Below are 20,081 nucleotides of genomic sequence, written 5' to 3' on the forward strand. Positions count from 1 at the left end.
TTTGACAAGCATTACCAATAGACCTGTAACCAGGTAAAATCTCTATTCACTGAATCAGAAACTTTAACCTTCAATTTCTTTAGCTTTTTGACTTTGAGCCCTGAGGCCAGTACTGATTAGTGAAGTTGTTGCAAGTAGTGGCAAATAACCCTATGGCTGTCTCTCCTTCAAAAGCTATTTTATTCGGGCTGCAGAGTCTGGAAGGCAGGCCGCTGTCCCCATTTCCCAGTTCCCTGTGGGTTTTGTTGTACTGTATTTTAGAGACAACTTACATGGAATACAGTCCTCCAATGTGAGACAGCTGATCATAGCCCACATAACCACTGCTCCAGACCCCAGAAGCAGCCCTGCCCCATCTGTCATTATTTAACCTTATCCATGTAACTGACCAAGATTGTTTAAAATAGCCTGTCGTGCAAAAATGCAATACAATATGCCAGATCTTTGAATTTAGCCATGGCAATTTTTCTGGTTCTTAGTCTTCCACTAAAAAAAATTATGTAGAGCAGATGTTGCAAACTAAACCCACAATGTGTTCAGTTAGGCCTACACAAAATTTTTACTAATTTTAAACTATTTAACAATAAAAATCAGGATACTTCACCGTCAGATCCACTTTTAAATTCAAATTTCTGCTTCTTTGGGAATATCACGGGCAATAGCCACACTGAGCTGGCACTCCTGCTTGGCACAGCATGTGTGGCTGGAGAGGGAGCAGCTCACTTCTTCAGAAAGGGCATGTTCCCTGCCCCTCAGTTCCCCACAGTCTCTACTTGTCTAACAGTTGGCTTCGCAGCTCCCTCCCTCTTTTACATTACCTGCCTGGATTCTGTAGGAGTTTGGGTTTGTGGTCCTTCATAACATCACAAGCACAGCAAAACCAGCATAGGTCTAACTAAGAGGGAAAAAAAATGACCTGGAATCCTGCCTTTCTAACTGCCTTCCACTAAAGTCAGTGTTCACTGGCTGGGTGACTCTTGACAAGTTCTATAACTTTTAGGAGTCTTGCTTTTCTCCAGGGTAAAATGAGGCTAACGGTACAGATCCTGCATGATGTTTATGAGGATTAAATAGTATAATATTTGCACAGCACCTGGTAGCTATTATTATGATTAGTTTATTCAGTCATAAGCCATACCCCATTTCTTAAAGATGGGCCTAAAGCCAGCTAGGGCCTAGCAGAGATCAGAAACATGCTGTGAATGCTGTTTCATATGCAACTTATACAACATATAGCTTGAAAACACATTTTTAAATATTTCATTAATTCCTCACAATGATCTTGGGAGGTCGCTATTGTTATTACCTATATTTAATATGCGAGGTTGTTGAGGCTTAACAGAGTCCCAGCCCCTGTAATATCCTGAGTACATCTTGGCATCACAGCACTTGCCAATTACATTATAATAGTTATCTATGCCTATGTCTGCTTTTCTTCCCAGGCTGTGAGATCTTTGAAATTAGGGACAAATTGAAGTCACCACTGCAACTCTGCTGGATCACAGAGTGTCAGGCCCAGGAAAAGTGCTCAGCCAGCTCTGGCTAAATCAATCAGTCTATGGACAAAGCCCCAAGGTCAGAGAACCAGTGAGTAACTGTGAGTCAGGTGCAGCCCTAGATCCACTTCCAGTCCACTGTTCTCTCCTTTCCTCAGTAGTGCTGATATTTTTCCTTCACTTCCTCAAACTTCTGAGCCTACAGCTTCTTCACCAGGCAGAAGCTGGGAATTTCGCCTGTGCAGTCAAACGTGGAACCCAGGCTGCTGATGGGGGCTCCAGTAGAAAGAAATGTGATGTCACCCATTAGGTACTAGAGGGAGTGGTTGTCTTCTATAAAGCTGCTGATGCTTTGCAGCCCAGGCTGCCCCTCTTTCCTCACAGTACTCTGCCATGCACCCTAAACCAGGTCTCAAGCACTCGGACACCTCACCCACTGTGCAATAACATGGAAACCTTGTAACCAGCAAAACAAAACACACTATAACAAGTTTTAAAATGAGAGTTACTGAAGTTTAACTTACATACCAAAAGTCAGCCATTTTAAGTGTACAATTTTATTAGTTTTGACAAATTGAATATAATCTTTTAACCACCACCACAGTCAAGATATAGAATATTTGCATTACTCCCAAAACATTCCCTTTGGCCTCTATCCCAACTTTCTTTCTTCAGGCAACCACTGATCTGGATCCCATCACTGCACTTCAGCTTTTTCTAGAATATCATACAATGGAAGAATAAAGTATATGGTCTTTTAGGTCTGGCTTTTTCACTCAACATGATGCTTTTAGGATTTATCTGTGTTGTTCCACATATCATTAGGTTGATCCTTTTTATTGCTAAGTAGTATTCCATTGTATGAATGTATCAAAATTTACTTATCCATTCACCTGTTAGTGGACATATAAGTTGTTTCTAGTTTTTGTCTATGTTGAATAAAGTTGCCATGAACGTTTGTATACAAATCTTTATGTGGCATATGTTTTCTTTTCTCTAAGATGAATACACAGAAGTAGAATGGCTGGAAGATAAGGTAAATATATGTTTAACTTTATAAGACAATACCGAATTATTACCTAAAGAGCCTATCCTGCTTTGCTCTTGCGTCAGCAATTTACAAGAGTTCCAGGTGTTCCACATTCTGTTTGACATTTGGTATCATTAGTCTTTTTATATCTGGCCATGTTCATGTGTATGTAGTGGTATTTCATTGAGGTACCATTAATTTGGAGTTCCCCTGTGACAAATAATGTTAAGCATCTTTTTATATGCTTATTTGCCATTCATATATCTTCTGTGGTAAAGAGCCTGATCAAATCTTTTGCCTTTTTAAAAATTTCAATGTTTTGATTCTTAATACTGAATTTTGAGAGTTCTTTATATATTCTGGATATAAGTCCTTTATTCAATATACAGTTGGCAAAAATTTTGTCCCAGTCTGAGGCTTGTATTTTCACTGTCTCTTTTTTTTTAACTTTTATTTTAGATTCAGGAGTATATGCAAAAGGTTATATAGGTAAACTCATATCACAGGAGTTTGGCAAACAGATTGTTTCATTACTCAGGTTCTAAGCATGGTACCCGATAGTTATTTTTCCCGACCGTCCCTCAAGTAGGCCCCATTTTCTTAAGATAGTCTTTAAAAGGGCAAAAGATTTGATTTTCATGAAGTTCAATTTATCAAATTTCTTTTATACTTTCTGCTTTCTGTGTTTTATCTAAGAAATCTTTACTTAAGCCAAGGTCAAAAAACTTGCCTCTATGTTTTCCTATAGAAGTTTTATGGTTTTAGCTTTTATATGAAAGTACTATCTATTTAGGGTTAATTTTTATATATATTGTATAAGGTCAAGATCAAGGTTCAGGACAGAGAAGAGCCAGGCTGAGTGGATACATTCTGTTATAAGTTTCCGAAGTGGGAGCTGAAGAGTGCTCTCCTGGGACACCAACACTCCAGGTCCTGCCTTTACTGCTCTATGTCCACTGCTCTTGGAGTCCCAGGTGACTCTCCCACAGCCTCTGTGACTCTATGACCTGCAGGTATTGGGAGACACATAACTACGATGCCAGGACCCCCAGAAGCCAGAAAATAGTGTTGCTATCTCTAAGCCAGACCTGATCACCTGCCTTGAGCAAAGGAAAGACCCCTGGAATGTGAAGAGATGCAAAATAGTAGCCAAACACCTAGATGTTAGATTTCTTGCTTTTTAAAAACTGAAAAAGCCAAGATGGCAAACTAGACTCAGCCAGGAAGAGCTTCTGTCACTGACAGACCAGACCATTAAGAAGACCAGCACATTCCGAGCAGATCTTCAAAAGGAAGGCGCTGAGAGCAAACAGAGGGAGGACACAGACCCTGGGCTGAAGTGAGAGGAATCTGGGAACCCTGCACAGGGTTGCTGAGCACCAGGACTTGTTCCTGGCCCCAAGTAGCTCCTGGGGAAAGAGTTACAACAGGCATGGAGTGAGCCACACTTGCCATGGGCCTCTGGAAATCCTAGATGCAAAAGACCCCACAACCCACAATGACATTTGAGTTGGCATGGAGAGCTGTTTAAAACGTTGGCAGGACCAGGGATCCAGTCTGTGTAGAGCCCAAAAGGTTTAATGTGGCAGTGGGGGCAGTGGAGCATGGCCAGGAATGCTCATCCACCAAGACTTGCCATGTTCCTCTAGGAGGCTTTGGCCTTTGTTGACTGTCAGACCTGGACAGAACAGGGATATCCTGCCTAGGGGAAGGGGTCAGTCTGATCTGAACACTGCCCTGTATGCCAGCCTCTCCCAGGGTCCCTGCCTGGTCACACCTGCTTACAACACAGCCTCGGTTGCCCAATCAGGGCACTTCCCAGCAGCTACCACCATAACTCTTTCACTGGCAGACTCCTCCTAACCATCAGAAAGCTTTTGCAGATGGGCCCTGTCAGCTCACACCCACTCACAGTCTGCCCCAACTGCATTGCTGGCAAATGCATGCAATGTGGACCTTACCACCTCACCACCATTGGCATACACGTGCAAGCACAAATACCACTGCCACTGCCCTGACAAAGTGCTTTTTCTGGCACCCCCGTCAGAGTATTGTTGCCAGTGGACCAGGAACACCTCAGCCCCTCCAATACAGCAGATGCTTAACCTTGAGGCGCCAGAGAATAAAGACACGGGCCTGGTCCCAGCCACTCAGGGTTAGAGCACTCAGCCAAGGAGTGCTGAGCTGAGACTTGGCACCTTGAAATCATCCAGAAGGAAAGCCAGTTGACTAAACCCAACCTATACCACAGTCAAAACCTCAAGAGCATCAAATAATATAAAAGCAGGAAGCCCCAACTAAAGGACAGCAACTTCAAAAATTAAAGGAATATTAGCCCACAGAGATGAGAAAAACACAGTGCAAGAACTCTGGCAATGCTAAAAGCAAGAGTGTCTCCCACCTCCAGATGACTGCACTAGCTCCCCAGCAATGGTGCTTAACCAGACTGAAATGGTTAAAATGACAGACACAGAATTCAAAATCTGGATGGCAATAAAGATCATCAAATTCAGAAGAAAATTGAAACCCAATCCAAGGCATCTAAGAAATCCAGTAAAATGACTAAAGAGCTGAAAGACAAAATAGCCATTTTAAGAAAGAACCAAATTGATCTGATAGAGCTGAAAAACTCACAATAATAATTTCATAATACAATCAAAAATATTAACAGCAGAATAGATTAAGCTGAGTAAAGACTCTCAGAGCTCAAATACTGATTCCTTGATCAACTCAGTCTGACAAAAATAAAGAAAAAAGAATTTTAAACAATAAGCAGAACCTCCAAGAAATATGAGATTATGTAGAGACGAAACGTATGACTCACTGGCATCCCTGAAAGACAGAAAGAGAGAAAAATCAACTTGGAAAACATTCAAGGATACTGTCCATGAAAATTTCCCCAACTTCACTAAAGAGGTTGACATTCAAATTCAGGAAATTCAGAGAACCCCTGCAAGATACTATATAAGATGACCATCACTGAGACACATAGTCATCAGATTATCCAAGGTCAACATAAAAGAGAAAATATTAAAGACAGCTAGAGAGAAGAGGCAGGTCAACTTCAAAGAGAACCCCATAAGGCTACCAGTGGGCCTTTCCACAGAAACCCCATAAGCCCAAGGAGATTGGGGGCCTATATTCACCATTAGGGGAACCTCATAAGGCCACCAGTGGACTCTATAAGCCCAAGGAGATTGAGGGCCTATATTTATCATCCGTAAAGAAAATAAATTCCAAACAAGAATTTTATATCCAGCCAAACTAAGCTTCATAAGCAAAAGAAAAACAAAATCCTTTTAAGACAACCAAATGCTAAGGGAATTTCTTACCACAAAACCTGCATTACAAGAAGTCTTCAAGGGAGCACTAAATATGGAAACAAAAGACCATTATAGGCCACCACAAAAACAAACTTAAGTACATAGACTATATACACTATAAAGCAACTGCACAATCAAGTCTACATTAAAAACCAGCTAACAACATGACAGGACCAATCCACACATATTAATAGTAACCTTGAACATACACAGGCTAAACATCCCACTAAAAAGGCACAGAGTAGCAAGCTGGATAATGAAGCAATACCCAACAATATGCTATCATCAAGACACCCACCTTATGTGTAATACACACATAGGCTAAAAGTAAAAGGATGGAGAAAGATCTGTCAAACAAATGGAAAACAAAAAACAGCAGGGATTGCTATTCTTATTTTGGACAAAATAGACTTTAAACCAACAATAATCCAAAAGGGTGTCACATCATGATAAAAGGTTCCATTCAACAAGAAGACTTAACTATCCTAAATATATATGCACCCAACACTGGAGCACCCAGATTCATAAAACAAGTTCTTAGAGACCTACAAAGAAACTTGAATCATCACTCAATAATAGTGGAAGACTTCAACACCCCACTGACAGTATTAGAAAAACCACTGAGGCAGAAAAATAACAAATATATTTGGGACCCAAACTCAACTCTTGACCAATTGGACTTTACAGATATCTACAGAACACTCCACCCAAAAACAAGAGAATAAACATTCTTTTCATCAGCATGTTGTGCACATTCTAAAATTAATGACATGCTTGGCCATAAAGCAATTCTCAAAAAATTTAATAAAACCAAAATCATACCAACCACACTCTCAGACCACAGCACGAAAGTAGAAATTAACACCAAGAAGATCTCTCAAAACCATACAATTACATGGACATTAAAATATCTGCTCACGCAGGACTTTTGGGTAAATAATGAAATTGAGGCAGAAATCAAGAAATTTTTCGAAGCTAACAAAAATAAAGATACATTTCAGAATCTCTGGGACACTGCTAAAGCAGTGTAAAGAGTCAAGTTTATAGTGCTAAACACCCATATCAAAGAGTTTGAATGGTCTCAAATTAACAACTTGACATCACACCTACAGAAACTAGTAAAACAAGAGCAAACCAACCCCAAAGCTAGCAGAAGAAAATAAATAACCAAAATCAGAGCTTAACGGAATGAAACAGACACATGAACAACAAAATGAAACAGATCCATGAAAAGATCAGCGAAACCAAAAGTTGGTCCCTTAAAAGAATAAATAAGATTGAGAGACAACTAGGTAGGCTAATAAAAAATAGAAATAAACATAGTCAGAAATGACAAAGGGAACATTACCACCAACCCCACAAAAAATTTTTAAAAACCCTCAGAGACTATAATAAACACTCCTATGCACACAAACTAGAAAACCTAGAGTAAATGGATAAATTCCTGGAAACATACAACCTCCCAAGGTTGAACAAGGAAGAAACTGAAATCCTGAACAGACCAATAAAAAGTTCCAAGATTAAATCAGTAATAAAAAAACATACCAACCCCAAAGAGCCCTGGACCAGATGGGTCCACAGCTGATTGCTACTGATGTATAAAGAAGAGCTGATACCAATCCTACTGAAACTATTCCAAAAAAATTGAGAAGGAAGGACTCCTCCCTAACTCATTCTAGGAGGCTAGCATTATTCTGATATCAAAATCTGACAGAAACACAATAAAAAAGGAAAACTTCACGCCAATATCTCCAATGAATATAGATTTAAAAATCCTCAACAAAATATTAGCAAGTGAAATCCAGCAGCACATCAAAAAAACCAATTCACCACAAATAAGTAGGCTTTATTCCTGGGATGCAAATTGGTTCAACATATGCAAATCAATAAATGTGATTCATCACATAAACAGAACTAAAAACAAAAACCATGTGATCATCTCAAAAGACAAAAAAGGCTTTCAATAAAATTCAACATCCTTTCATGTTAAAAACCCTGAACAAGCTAGGCATTGAAGAAACATACCTCAAAATAATAATACTTATCTATGACAAACCCATAGCCAACATCATACTGAACAGGCAAAAGTTAGAAGCATTCCTCCTAAGAACCAGAATAAGACAAGATGCCCATTCTCACCACTCCTATTCAACATAGTTCCGGAAGTTCTAGCCAGAGTAATCAGGCAAGAGAAAAAAATAAAAGGCATCTAAATAGGAAGAGAGGAAATCAAACTATCTCTCTTCACAGATGATATGACTGTACACCTAGAAAACCCCATAGTGTCTGCCCAAAGGCTCCTAGAACTGATAAACAACTTCAGCAAAGTTTCAGGATAAAAAAAAAGTACAAAAATCACTAACATTTCTATATACCAATAATGTCCAAGCTGAGAGCCACATCAAGAATCCAATCCCATTCACAATAGCCACAAAAAGAATAAAATACCTAGGAATACAGCCAACCAGGGAGGTAAAAGATCTCTACAACAAGAATTATAAAACACTGCTGAAAAAAATCAGAGACAACACAAATGTAAAAACACTGTATGCTCATGGATAAAAAGAATCAATTTTATTAAAATGGCAATATTACCCAAAGCATTTTACAGATTCAATGTGATTCCTTTCAAACTATCAATGACGTTTTTCACTGAATTAGAAAAAAAAATTGTAAAATTCATATGGAACCAAAAAAGAGCCCAAATAGCCACAGCAATCCTAAGCAAAAAGAACTAAGGCTGAGGCATCACATTACCTGACTTCAAACTATACCGCAAGGCTATGGTAACCAAAACATCATGGTATTGGTACAAAAACAGACACATAGACCCATGGAATTTGCCTTATCTATCCATCTATCTGCCACCTATCCACCAGCTAGCTAGCTATCCATCCATCCATCTATACATCAATCTATCAACCTATTTCTTTGGCAAGGCTATGGAAATGTCATAGAGAAGATGACCCTGTAATCATTGCCTTTGCTGCCAATGGTATATTTGGGGTAAACAAGAAAAAATATTTCTTCTGCAATGCTATACCCATTCCAGGTATGGCCCTAGATCTGTACTATTGTGGTAAACATGTTTTTTGTCCTCTTCCACATAAGTGTATCCATGCTATGGATACACTTGTCCATTGCTCTGATGACTCTGGAGAGGACATTGCTGGCTGCCCTCTCCCTCCAACATCTATCTCTTTCCATCCATTGTGTAGGCACAGGGTCTGAGTGAGATTGATCTACCAACCCCAATCCTGACACTAGCCCCAAAAGTCCTACAGCAGATCCTCCTCCTCAACAGAGTAATTGGTTCAATTAGAACAAAATTCAAGACTTTTGATGGTTTGGAAAAGAGAATCTCTCTTTCTCTGAATGGAATGGTGTATTGATGTGAAGCCCAGGAATGCTCCAACCATTGAACTCTAAGGCAAGCCAGTCTGGGAATGCAACTGACTCAAAATGGCAGAGCAGAAAGAATGCCAGAGAAATGGAGCCAGAGCCCTGGTCAGAATGTGCCTAAAGACTGCACTCTCTACTGCTAGACATTTTAGTCACGTGAGTCATTATTTGTTTTAACCAGTTTGCCTTCTTCTTTTCCATTACAGGTCTTGGGAACTAAATGCATCATTACCATGCTAGCCCCGAAGAGTTAAGGGTAATTGAGGAGTGGTAGGTGGAGACAGTTTATTTGGTGAAAATCCTCTTCCTCATTTACTCAGCCAGCATGTCGCCTAGGCTCCAGGAGCTTTCTTTGCTCATTTGTGATTAGATCAGCTCATAAGGAACCACTTTTTCTTTCTAAACCTGCCTTCCTCTACTTCCAGAATCTCTCTCACATTTGTGACTCAATCTAAAGGCCTTAATCTGGCCATAACTTAGCTGCAGGAACTCTGAGCCATCCACCAAGATCCTTTGTACTCTTAACTTCCGCCAACTGACAGTGCTAAGTGAGGGGGACTGGGAGCTGCACCTCTTCAGTCACAGGCCTGCAAGCCTCTGAGACAGAGGAAATGCCAACAGATCGAGGAATTGGATTAGAAATGCAATTCCAAAGCAAAAATGGAATTGGAGCCGATGGATTGGTGTGTCTATGAAAGAGTTCGGGAAAATCAGTCGCTGCTGACCACAGCAGCCGCAAGGCTCCTGCCCCTAACAGTCTGCTGCCACCATGTCCATGTCTGTTCAGACTCCCCAGACTACTCCATTCACCTTCCAAAGACAGGGTCCTTTCCTGGTCTCGATTTCTCCACTATCACTTTTCTATTATCACTACATCTAAAGTCCCCATTTCCAGCACCAGAGGTCTCAATTACTCTACCACCACCACCACATTCCATCCTTAGTAATCCAGTGCTTTCTCCTTGGCCTTCTGCCTTTCCTTGTTCTTCTGCCCTCTCTTGAGTCCTCTTGCCCCACCCCTCTGCCTTTCTAAATTCTACCTGTCCTCCATGACACTGCTTCTGAGTAGAAAATGTTTCAAAGAAAAGGCATGAGCTTTGAAATCTGGTTGATCTAAGTTTAAATTCTACCTAGGATGATTGTGAGTGATGGAAACAGGCTAAATTTGTCTGGATCAAGGATACCAAAATTCAGAATCCACTTCTGCACAGTCACCTGTTCCATTTCCCTTTCCTCCTCTATAGTGTCATGTATGCCAGGAAAACATCCTATGTGTTACCATGAAGGAAACTGTGGCCTCAATTCCACTCTAGCCCCCAGTAAGCTAGGATAAACTACGTAGAGGGCTTCTTTTACCTGAGAGGCAGCTATAACCAAAGTCATCTATAAGTCTTCCTTTCTAAAGTTCACCTCTTCAAAGAGGAGGAAAGGTAATTCCAAAGAAAAGCACCCAAAACATAAAAGGAAAGGATTTTGAACACCAAAAACAGAACTCCCCTTTTCCACCTACCACTCAGGCATTTTTTGGTTGAGGCAATTTTGGGGCAAAAGTTGTCTTGAACTTTGTGTGTAAGCACATAGGACATGAGAAAGGGGGAAAAGAAAGATTAAACTCAATTGGTTCATTGGGCCTTACAGCTTTGGATCAGAAAGACCATTAGCCTCTTCTGCTTCTTATTTCATCCTTGGCCATTTAAGTCCCTCCTCAAGCTTGTCCCTTAGGAGACCTCAGGACCATCAGAATAACCACTGGCCTTTTGGCATATAATCCTTTCAAAGAGTAATACATCATGTTAATTTAACTATGTAAGCAAAATAAATAGCACAAACCTTTCAACCCAGTGATTTTACCACCCAAATCTCCAAAGGACAAGCCATCTCAGAGTTTACAGGTCTATCTCTATTCTCTGGGAGCTTACCACAGTTTTGTCCTTAATGAATTTGCTCAAATACTTTTGTTAGCAGTGAGACTCTGCATTCACTGGAATAGAATTTTCCCTGGAAGCTCTTGAATTCTATGGCTTCTACTTATCTATAAGCATTTCTCCACTGCCTTGACTTTAATCTATGCAGCATGGCTGTCTCTCCCAACACTATCAGATCACTGTCCTGGCACAAGTTTACTGTTCTGTATTTGCCGTAAAATATGTCTACTGATAATGAATATTTCAAGATTAATAATTTTGCTTGCTTTCCTAAAAATGTTAAGAGCTTTTTGAGGAATCATTTGGCTAACCCAAGTCTGTTAGTAAACATTGCTCAAAGAAATTTGTGCTGAGGTCTCTTTTTCATTCTGTAAGTTTTGCTCTACAAGCAAAGGCATTCCAATGTCTTTGAAGCTATGGGTGTTTCTCGTAGAGTTTCAGTGATAAAGGTAGAATCCCTCCCTCTAAAACTATTAGTAAAGTGCTTACTCAGTATTTCATTCCTTCATTTCTTCTTACCTCCTTCCTCAGGTCAGCTGCTCAGATTCAGATGGAACATAAGCAATAATGTTTTTCCAAGGTTTCTCTTCCTTTTTGTCAGTGGACTCACTTGACATTTTGTTGGCAGCCTTCAGAGCACTTCAGGCTTCTCTGCAAGATGTTAAAAGCAATTTAGAGGTACTCAGCACATATAATAAATAAGTTTTCAAAACAATGTCTCTCAAAATTGTCAACAGTATCCAGACTGGGTAAAACACTTTTTTCTCTGTTGGTTTTTCCTGGGAGATGTTACCAAATAATTTTAAAGACTATCAAGACTGAGATAGCAGTTCTATGACCATAAATCACTGACTTTCTGTGACAAACTTACATTGCCCAAAAAATATGTTCCAGAAATGACAACACACTGGCATCATATTACTTCTTCCAATCTGGCTTTATGTCCAGAAGTTCAAAAATTCTTGATCAGAGTAGGTGTGGTGGATATCTGTTGCTTTGGCCTCCCATCATCCCTTTGCCATTGTGCTGGTGTCTTATCCCAGTCTTTCTCTGGGGAACCACCCTGTCTCATATTCAATCCATGTAATCTGAATGAGTTAAAGCCATGCCCAGCTGTAAGGGTAAACATGTAATTTGAGTCTAAGCCAATCAGCACACCGCATTTTTCTAGCCACAGTGATTGGCTTAAAGATGCTCACATGACCCAATCAGAGTCAGTAAGATATTGCTGAGACTTCTGGGAGAGAGACAGGTTCTTCATTTCTGGATTTAAACCTTAAGGACAAAGTGTGAGTCTGTTGCCACTATTATGTTACCACATAGAACCTGATACTGCAGCCGATATAGTAATGATGAGAACTGAGTCTTGAGACTATTTGAATCCTCAGAACCAGTTGCACCTGAAACTATCTATGCTCTTGGATTTTCAGTTAAATGAGCCAAAAACTCCTTTTCCTCCCTGCTTAAGCAAGTCTTCATTAGGTATTCTTTTATTTCAAAATAAAAAATCATGAACGCCCACCATATACCCTGATTTTGGTTTGAAAAATATAGTCAGCAAAGGCAAAAGTATAAACTGAATGATGTAATAAAGAACCTCTATTTTTACATTTCTTAAAGTAGCTAACACACCCTGGGCACAATCCAGCTTTCCAAGATGGTATGTATGTGTTTGATTGAATAAATAAATACAGATGGAAAGTTAAGAATAATTCATGCCAAGTGTTAGGGAATCCCTGAGTTTCAAAGCAATACTCATTGGAATTGGAAACTCTAGGGTGGATATGAAACTGTTGATCAATGTTGAATGAGCAGAGCTCACTAAATACTGAGCCACAGAATAAAACACCTGTGAGCAAGATAGCTCTCACTGACCAGGCTCTTGGCAAGACCACCTATCTTCCTGAAACAGGGAATAGACAAAGCCTGAGGGAAAGCCCTTTCTTCCCAGCCCCAACTGCAAATGTACTCCAGGAGGACTGAACAACCAGATTCAGGGCCTCAGAGGGCTCCCACCACAAAGAGGTCTAAAGATGTAGGCTGAGAGGGCAGTGCAAATTCAGAAAAGAACACCCACAGAGAGCCCAAGGTCCATCACAGCCTCTTCCTGACACTAGTAAGTTAAGCATGCCCACAACTCTGAAAATCTTTTTAGACAAGGAAGGCTCAGAACTCCAAGATAAAGGGTCCTCACAAGACCTGGAAATAAAATATGAACCAAAACATAAGCAAGAATGGCTTTAGAAAAGTGCAAATGGTGAAAAATTTTGTTCTCATCCATTGCAGTCTATGATTCCAATCAGCACCTTCCTCCAGAGGGCCAGGTCTTCCATCACTTCAGTCATAAAGGAAATGGGTTGGAGACTCCTTCCTTGTACAAAGAATTTGGGAATTAGTGTGAGAAAAGGGACACAAAGAATAGAAATCCAAAGAAAAAGAGGGATGCTCAGAACAAGGCCAGATTTTAACTCAGACTCACAACTTTCAGCTCAAGTGGTGAAATTTACCAGACATTGACAAGGCAACTCTGAAATCTCCCTCTCTGAACAAAGAATGGAATTCCATTGCTGTAGTTGTATTCTTTTAGCTTCTAACTTACATCATGAAAATACAGATCTCTTTGGAGAGAAAGTATCTTAGACTATTGTCAGTCATTTGCTCCTCTGTATAAAAGCTTTGTCACTAGAGAAGGGTATGATAGCTAGACACATAAATACATAAAGAGGGCAAGGAAATGGAATGTGACTGAAAGGAAAATGTATTTGGGCAAGTGACACACTAGACAGAAGAATACAGACTTTAGGTTTAGAAAGACCTGGATTCAAGTCTGACCCCACCACCTATTAACTCTTATCTTGGGCTAAGTACATCACTTCTTTGAAACTCAACTACTTTCTCTGTGAAGAGTGAATATTAATAACAATCTCCATGACTCTGATTATATTATCCTGTCTGTCTTGTATACCACATATACCTTGTCATTTGCTTGGCTAACTCCTATTCAGGCCATAGGCCACCTCATTTCACCTCCTCAGGAAGACTGAAATGGGGAGGTGTTCCTTGTCTGAGTCCCACAGCATCTACCTACATAGAGCAGAATTCGCATCAATTGTAACTCTTATTTTTCTGTACTATGAATTTACACTCTGATTGTCTCCAATAAAGCAAGAGGACTTTAAGACTCAGTGTCTGTATTTTATTCATGAGTGCATCCCCAGTGCTTAGAAAACCTGAAAAGATAAAGAAGAGGGATCTCACGGGCTCACCTAGGAGATATAGAAACACGGGCTTAGGAGAGCCAGGAAGAAGAAAGTGAACCCTGCAGGAGGCTGTTCTTCTACTACAAGAGGAAATAATGCAGACAGGGCTGAGAGAGAGATGGGCAGCTACATCACTTCTATTGTCCCCAAACCAACTTTCTAACCTAGAGCAGAAATCTGAATGGAGATAAGATAGGAGTTGTGACACTGTTATTAGACAAAGTTGAATTCAAGGTCAAAAGCATTGCATAGGGACAGAAGCAGTCACTTAGTAATGATGAAGTCTGCAGTCCATGGAGATTATACTGTCATGAACCATTAGGAATCAAATAACAAAGCATCAACATTTGTAATGGAAAATCATAGGAAAATAAAAGAGAAACTGACAAAAATATAAAAGTAATAAAAAGATTCAAGTGTACCTGTTTTGGTCTCTGACAGATAAAGTATATGAATATAAATAAGGATATAAAATATGTGAATAATTAAAATTATCTCTAGGTTGCTATAATGCATTTATAAAAATTAACATCTTTCAGGAATAAATTCCAAGAAGCTATTATAATACCAACCACATTCTAAGATGGCAATACAATAAAACAAATAAGTAACAAATGTAGAAACAGAAAAACCAAACACTGGAAAATCAGGAGAAAAACATTTCAATTAACTATTGGGTCAAAGATAATAGATTTAACTGCAATCGTTAACTATCTTTTAAAAATAACATTACAAATTAGAACTACAAAAACTTCAAAATTGTACCCAGAGGAAAGTTCATATCCTTGGACACATATCTCTAAACACACAAGAATGAAAATAAATAAATATTCATCATCAAAGATTAAAAGAGAAAGAAAAAACAATTTTTCAAAAGTTTGAGAAAAATATAAACAAAAAATAAATTGGTGGTAAACAAATAGAATTAAATATTTTAAGAGCAGATTCTTCAGAGAAAAAAATTCAATACAGCTAAAATATCATTTGTCAGTTTAGTCAAGAATAAAATGTAGAAAGTACAAAATTATAAAATAGGAATGAAAAAAGGAGAAAACACAAATGCAAGGAAATCCAAAGATATACACAAAAGAACACTTCATTCAACAATGTGTTAGGAATTTTGAAGATATGAATGAAATGTGTGATTTTCAAAGGAAAATATAAATTACCCAAACCAAAAAAAAAAAAAAAAAAATAGGAGAGGGAAAACCATGATAGAAACTAAGTAATATGTCAAAGAAGACCTGTGGAAAATGGCAAATAGGAGGCAAGACTAACTGTGGGCTCCGACAGAGCAGCATGTGGAGACCCACATCATGAACTTTTGCTCCAAGACCTACCACAGGAACACACCAGGAAAGCTGAGATAATCCACAGACCCTTGGAAGGAGGTGGATTGCCACTTCAGACTCCGTGGGACAGCTGAGGAACTACAAAGGACATACTCTCTTGGGAGTTCTATGGCCCTGCCCACCACCTGAGAAACCTCAATACTTATCTCTAGGTGACCCTAGGGCAAGCTTGTATCCTAGCTATACAACCACAGCTGAGGCCCTCTTGAAAGCACCACCTCCTGGCTGGAGGCCAACCAACACAAAACCACTGTACTTAACAAAAATAGAACCAAGGACCTTCACACAGTCTACTTTACTCCCCTGCTACCCTTGAATCCCAGATCTTCCCTCTGACATAGTCTACCCGAACAAGAAGGAACCAGAAAAACAATTCTAGTAATACAACAAAACAAAGTTCTTTAATACCACCAAAAGATCACACTAGCTCACCAGCAATGGATCCAAACCAAGAAGAAATCTCTGAATTGCCAGAAAAAGAATTCAGAAGGTTAATTATTAAGCTAATCAAGGAGGCAGCAGAGAAAAGTGAAATCCAACTTAAAGAAATTAAAAAAAAAAAAGGTACCAGATATAAATGGAGAAACTCCAGTGAAATATACAGCATTAATAAAAAACAATCACAACTTCTGGAAATGAAGAACACACTTACAGAAATGCAAAATGCACTGGAAAGTCTGAGCAATAGAATCAAACATGGAGAAGAAAGAATGTCAGAGCTCAAAGACAAGCCTTTCAAATTAACCCAATCTGACAAAGACTAAGAAAAAAACATTCTTTTTTTTTTTTAATGAACAAAGCCTCCAAGGAGTTTGGGATCATGTTAAATGACCAAATCTAAGAATAACTGGTTTTCCCAAGAAAAGGAGAAATCTAAGTTTGGAAAACATATTTGAGAGAAGAATTGAGGAAAAGTTCCCCAGCCTTGCTAGAGATCTAGACATCCAAATACAAGAAGCTCAAAGAATGCTTTAAAGCCATAGTTTTATAATTTATAAATATGGCTTTATAATACTATAAAGCTATAGTTATCAAAACAGCATGGTACTGTATAAAAACAGGCATATAGACCAATGGAACAGAATAGAGAATCCAGAAGTAAAGCTAATTACATACAGGCAACTGATCTTCGACAAAGTAAACAAAAACAAAGTGGGGAAAGGACACCCTATTCAACAAATGGTGCTGGGATAATTGGCAAGCCACATGTAGAAGAATGAAGGTGAATCCTCATCTCTCACTTTATACAAAAATCAACTCAAGATGGATCAAAGACTTAAATCTAAGACCTGAAGCCGTAACAATTCTAGAAGACAGCATCAGAAAAACCCTTCTAGACACTGGCTTAGGCAAAGACTTCATGACCAAGAACCCAAAAACAAATGCAACAAAAATAAATATAAATAGATTGGATTTAATTAAACTAAAAAGCTTCTGCACAGCAAAAGAAATAATCAGCACAGTAAAGAGACAACCACAGAGTGGGAGAAAATCTTCACAATCTATACTTCTGACAAAGGACTAATATCCAGAATCAATAAGGAACTCAAATCAGCAAGAAAAAAATAAAGAATCCCATCAAAAAGTGGGCTAAGGACATGAATAGATGATACTCAAAAGAAGATATACAAATGGCTACATATGAAAAAATGCTCAACATCAGTAATGGTCATGGAAATACAAATCAAAACAATACGATACCACTTTACTCTTGCAAGAATGGCCATAATCAAAAAATTAAAAAAAATATATACAGATGTTGGTATGAATGTGGTGAAAAAGGGAATACTTTTACACCATTGCTGGGAATGTAAACTATAATAGTACAACCACTATGGAAAACAGTGTGGAGATTCCTTAAAGAACTAAAAGTAGATCTACCATTTGATCTAGCAATCCCACTCCTGGGTATCTACCCCGAGGAAAAGAAGGCATTATATGAAAAAGATACTTGCACACGCATGTTTATAGCAGCACAATTTGTAATTGCAAAAATATGGAACCAGCCCAAATACCCATGAATCAACAAGTGGATAAAAAAAAATGAGTATGTATACACCATGGAATACTACTCAGCCGTAAAAAGGAATAAAACAACGGCATTTGCAACAATCTGGATGGAATTGGAGATCATTATTCTAAGTGAAGTAACTCAGGAATGGAAAACCAAACATTGTATGTTCTCATTCATAAGTGGGAGCTAAGCTATAGGACACAAAGGCATAAGAATGATACAATGGACTTTTGGACCTTGGGGAAAGGGTGTGAGGGGTGTGAGGGATAAAAGACTATGCACTGGGTATGGTGTACACTGCTTTGGTGATGTGTGCACCAAAGTCTCAGAAATCACCACTAAAGAACTTATTCATGTAACCAAACACCACTGGTTCCCCAAAAACCTATTGAAATAAAAAAAATTATGAAGTCAATCAATTAAATACACAGCCTTGAAAACAAATAACCTAACATGTACAAGCCTATGGATTACTTCTACAAATATAATATTGACTGAAATCTGCTTTTAATAGTATTTGAAACATTTACATCTTACCATCTTTTCTTTATTATCTATAGAAAGCAGATTGGAGTTTCTAAAAGTGCAGGCCATCAGGCTCTCTTCCCAAGTTCTTTTTTTCTTACCAATGTAATAACAACTGTTGGAATATGTAATCCACTCCTCTGGACAATGGCCACATTGATATGCTAAATAAAGATATGAATTCCTATCCAGAAAAACAAATATGTCAAACAGCTACCATCTCAACATCTCCCATTCATCCAAACTTCTATAGACAGATGATTTCACAAATGAATTCTAGCAAATATTCAAAATGCAGGTAATCCTCATATTACCAAAAAGAAAAAGAAGCTGTCTCGAATTCCTCAAAGTAGACCCAAAGGAAAGAGACAAACTCCTACCGCTATGATAAAAGAAGTCACAGGTTCACATCTTAAGAAGAACATATGGAATGGGAAATACTGTCCTGGCCATAACTGAAAAATACAATCTGTCTCACTCTCATACCCCCAACTACGGTCTCCTCTCACATGTGAGCTGTCATTCAAAGGGCTACAAAATAACTCTTGAATGTTACGAGAACATCATGAAAGATATACCTGACACTGTCCTGATATCCTGCTGTGTTTACTGTGCTATATCTTTCTGCTAGAAGCTGAAACCAACTGTGGCCTCACAATTGTAGTTAGGTAACTACAGGTATAATTATCAGGTTGAGCCTAGGAGCATGACAATGAGCTTTGCACTTCACAAACGTCTTTAAGCTCTTGTTCTACTTTTGAAGAACTCCAAATTGGAAATTGTGAACATACATAATCAGAAAGGTACATACTCAAAGAAAATGCCATAGCCCCACATCAAAAACTTGGTGAGTTGGTGTACAAGTATATATTTTATGTTTAAAAGTTTAGGGTAAGGGAATTCTATTTCAGTAACAAAAGAGTAACTTCCATCACAAACTCTCCCATAGATAACAATTATAAACTCTGGACAAAATTGGGAAAGAAGTAATCTAGTAGAAAACATTAAAGAGCAGCGAAAAGCAGGCAGAAATCGGAGGAGCATGATAAAGGGGACATCACTGGATATTGGTTTGTGCAGATTTCCTCCTGCAGGCATTCCCACATCCATACCATGGGGGTGTAAGTTAAGCAAATATTCACAGTCCTGCAGCCTGAGAACTGAGAGGCTGGAGTTCAGAGTTTCCAGGGTGGCTGAAAGGTAAGGAAGCTATAAAGGTAAAGCCGCACAATCTGCATGTAAAGCCAACCCAAATCCTCAGGTGATCAATGAAATACACATGCATGGGAGGAAACTTCAAAAACTGTGGCAAAAAGCAGTAAGTGGAGGACAGAAAAAGCTGAATTCAGCTGTTGCCTACCATAGGAGAGACAGAATGTGGAGTTGAGTCCAACGAAGAAACTGCCTCCTGATATAAACATCAACACTTTCCAGAAGAAGATAAGAGAACTCAGAGTTTCAATCATGTGTCATCCACAATATCCAATATACAATTATATCTTACTAGACAATGTGAAGAAACAGGAAAATATAAGTTAAAGTCATGAGAAAAAAATCAGTCAATATCAACTGACTCTGAGATAAGTCAGACATTGGAGCTATTAGGTAAGGACTTTAAAGCAGCTATTATTAATATTTTCAAGCACTTAAAGAAGTATATGGATGTTTAAATAAAAAAATTAATAGAAAAACGAATGAATAGAGGAGGATCCTCTGCAGAGAAGTGAAAACTATGTAAAATAAACAAATAGAAA

At 38.7% G+C, this 20,081-nt stretch overlaps 1 long non-coding RNA gene across 1 annotated transcript in view; it reads right to left on the reverse strand.

The window, feature by feature from the left end:
• The window catches only part of LOC102724068 (uncharacterized), a 96,106-nt gene that overhangs the window by 19,457 nt on the left and 56,568 nt on the right, over positions 1-20,081 (reverse strand). Inside the window, exon 2 of the long non-coding RNA XR_007096116.1 lies at positions 11,696-11,827. This is a non-coding gene — a long non-coding RNA (uncharacterized LOC102724068). The remainder of the gene's footprint in view (positions 1-11,695; positions 11,828-20,081) is intronic.

This window comes from Homo sapiens, chromosome 3 (genome assembly GCF_000001405.40).
Source record: "Homo sapiens chromosome 3, GRCh38.p14 Primary Assembly".
Taxonomy (NCBI): domain Eukaryota; kingdom Metazoa; phylum Chordata; class Mammalia; order Primates; family Hominidae; genus Homo; species Homo sapiens.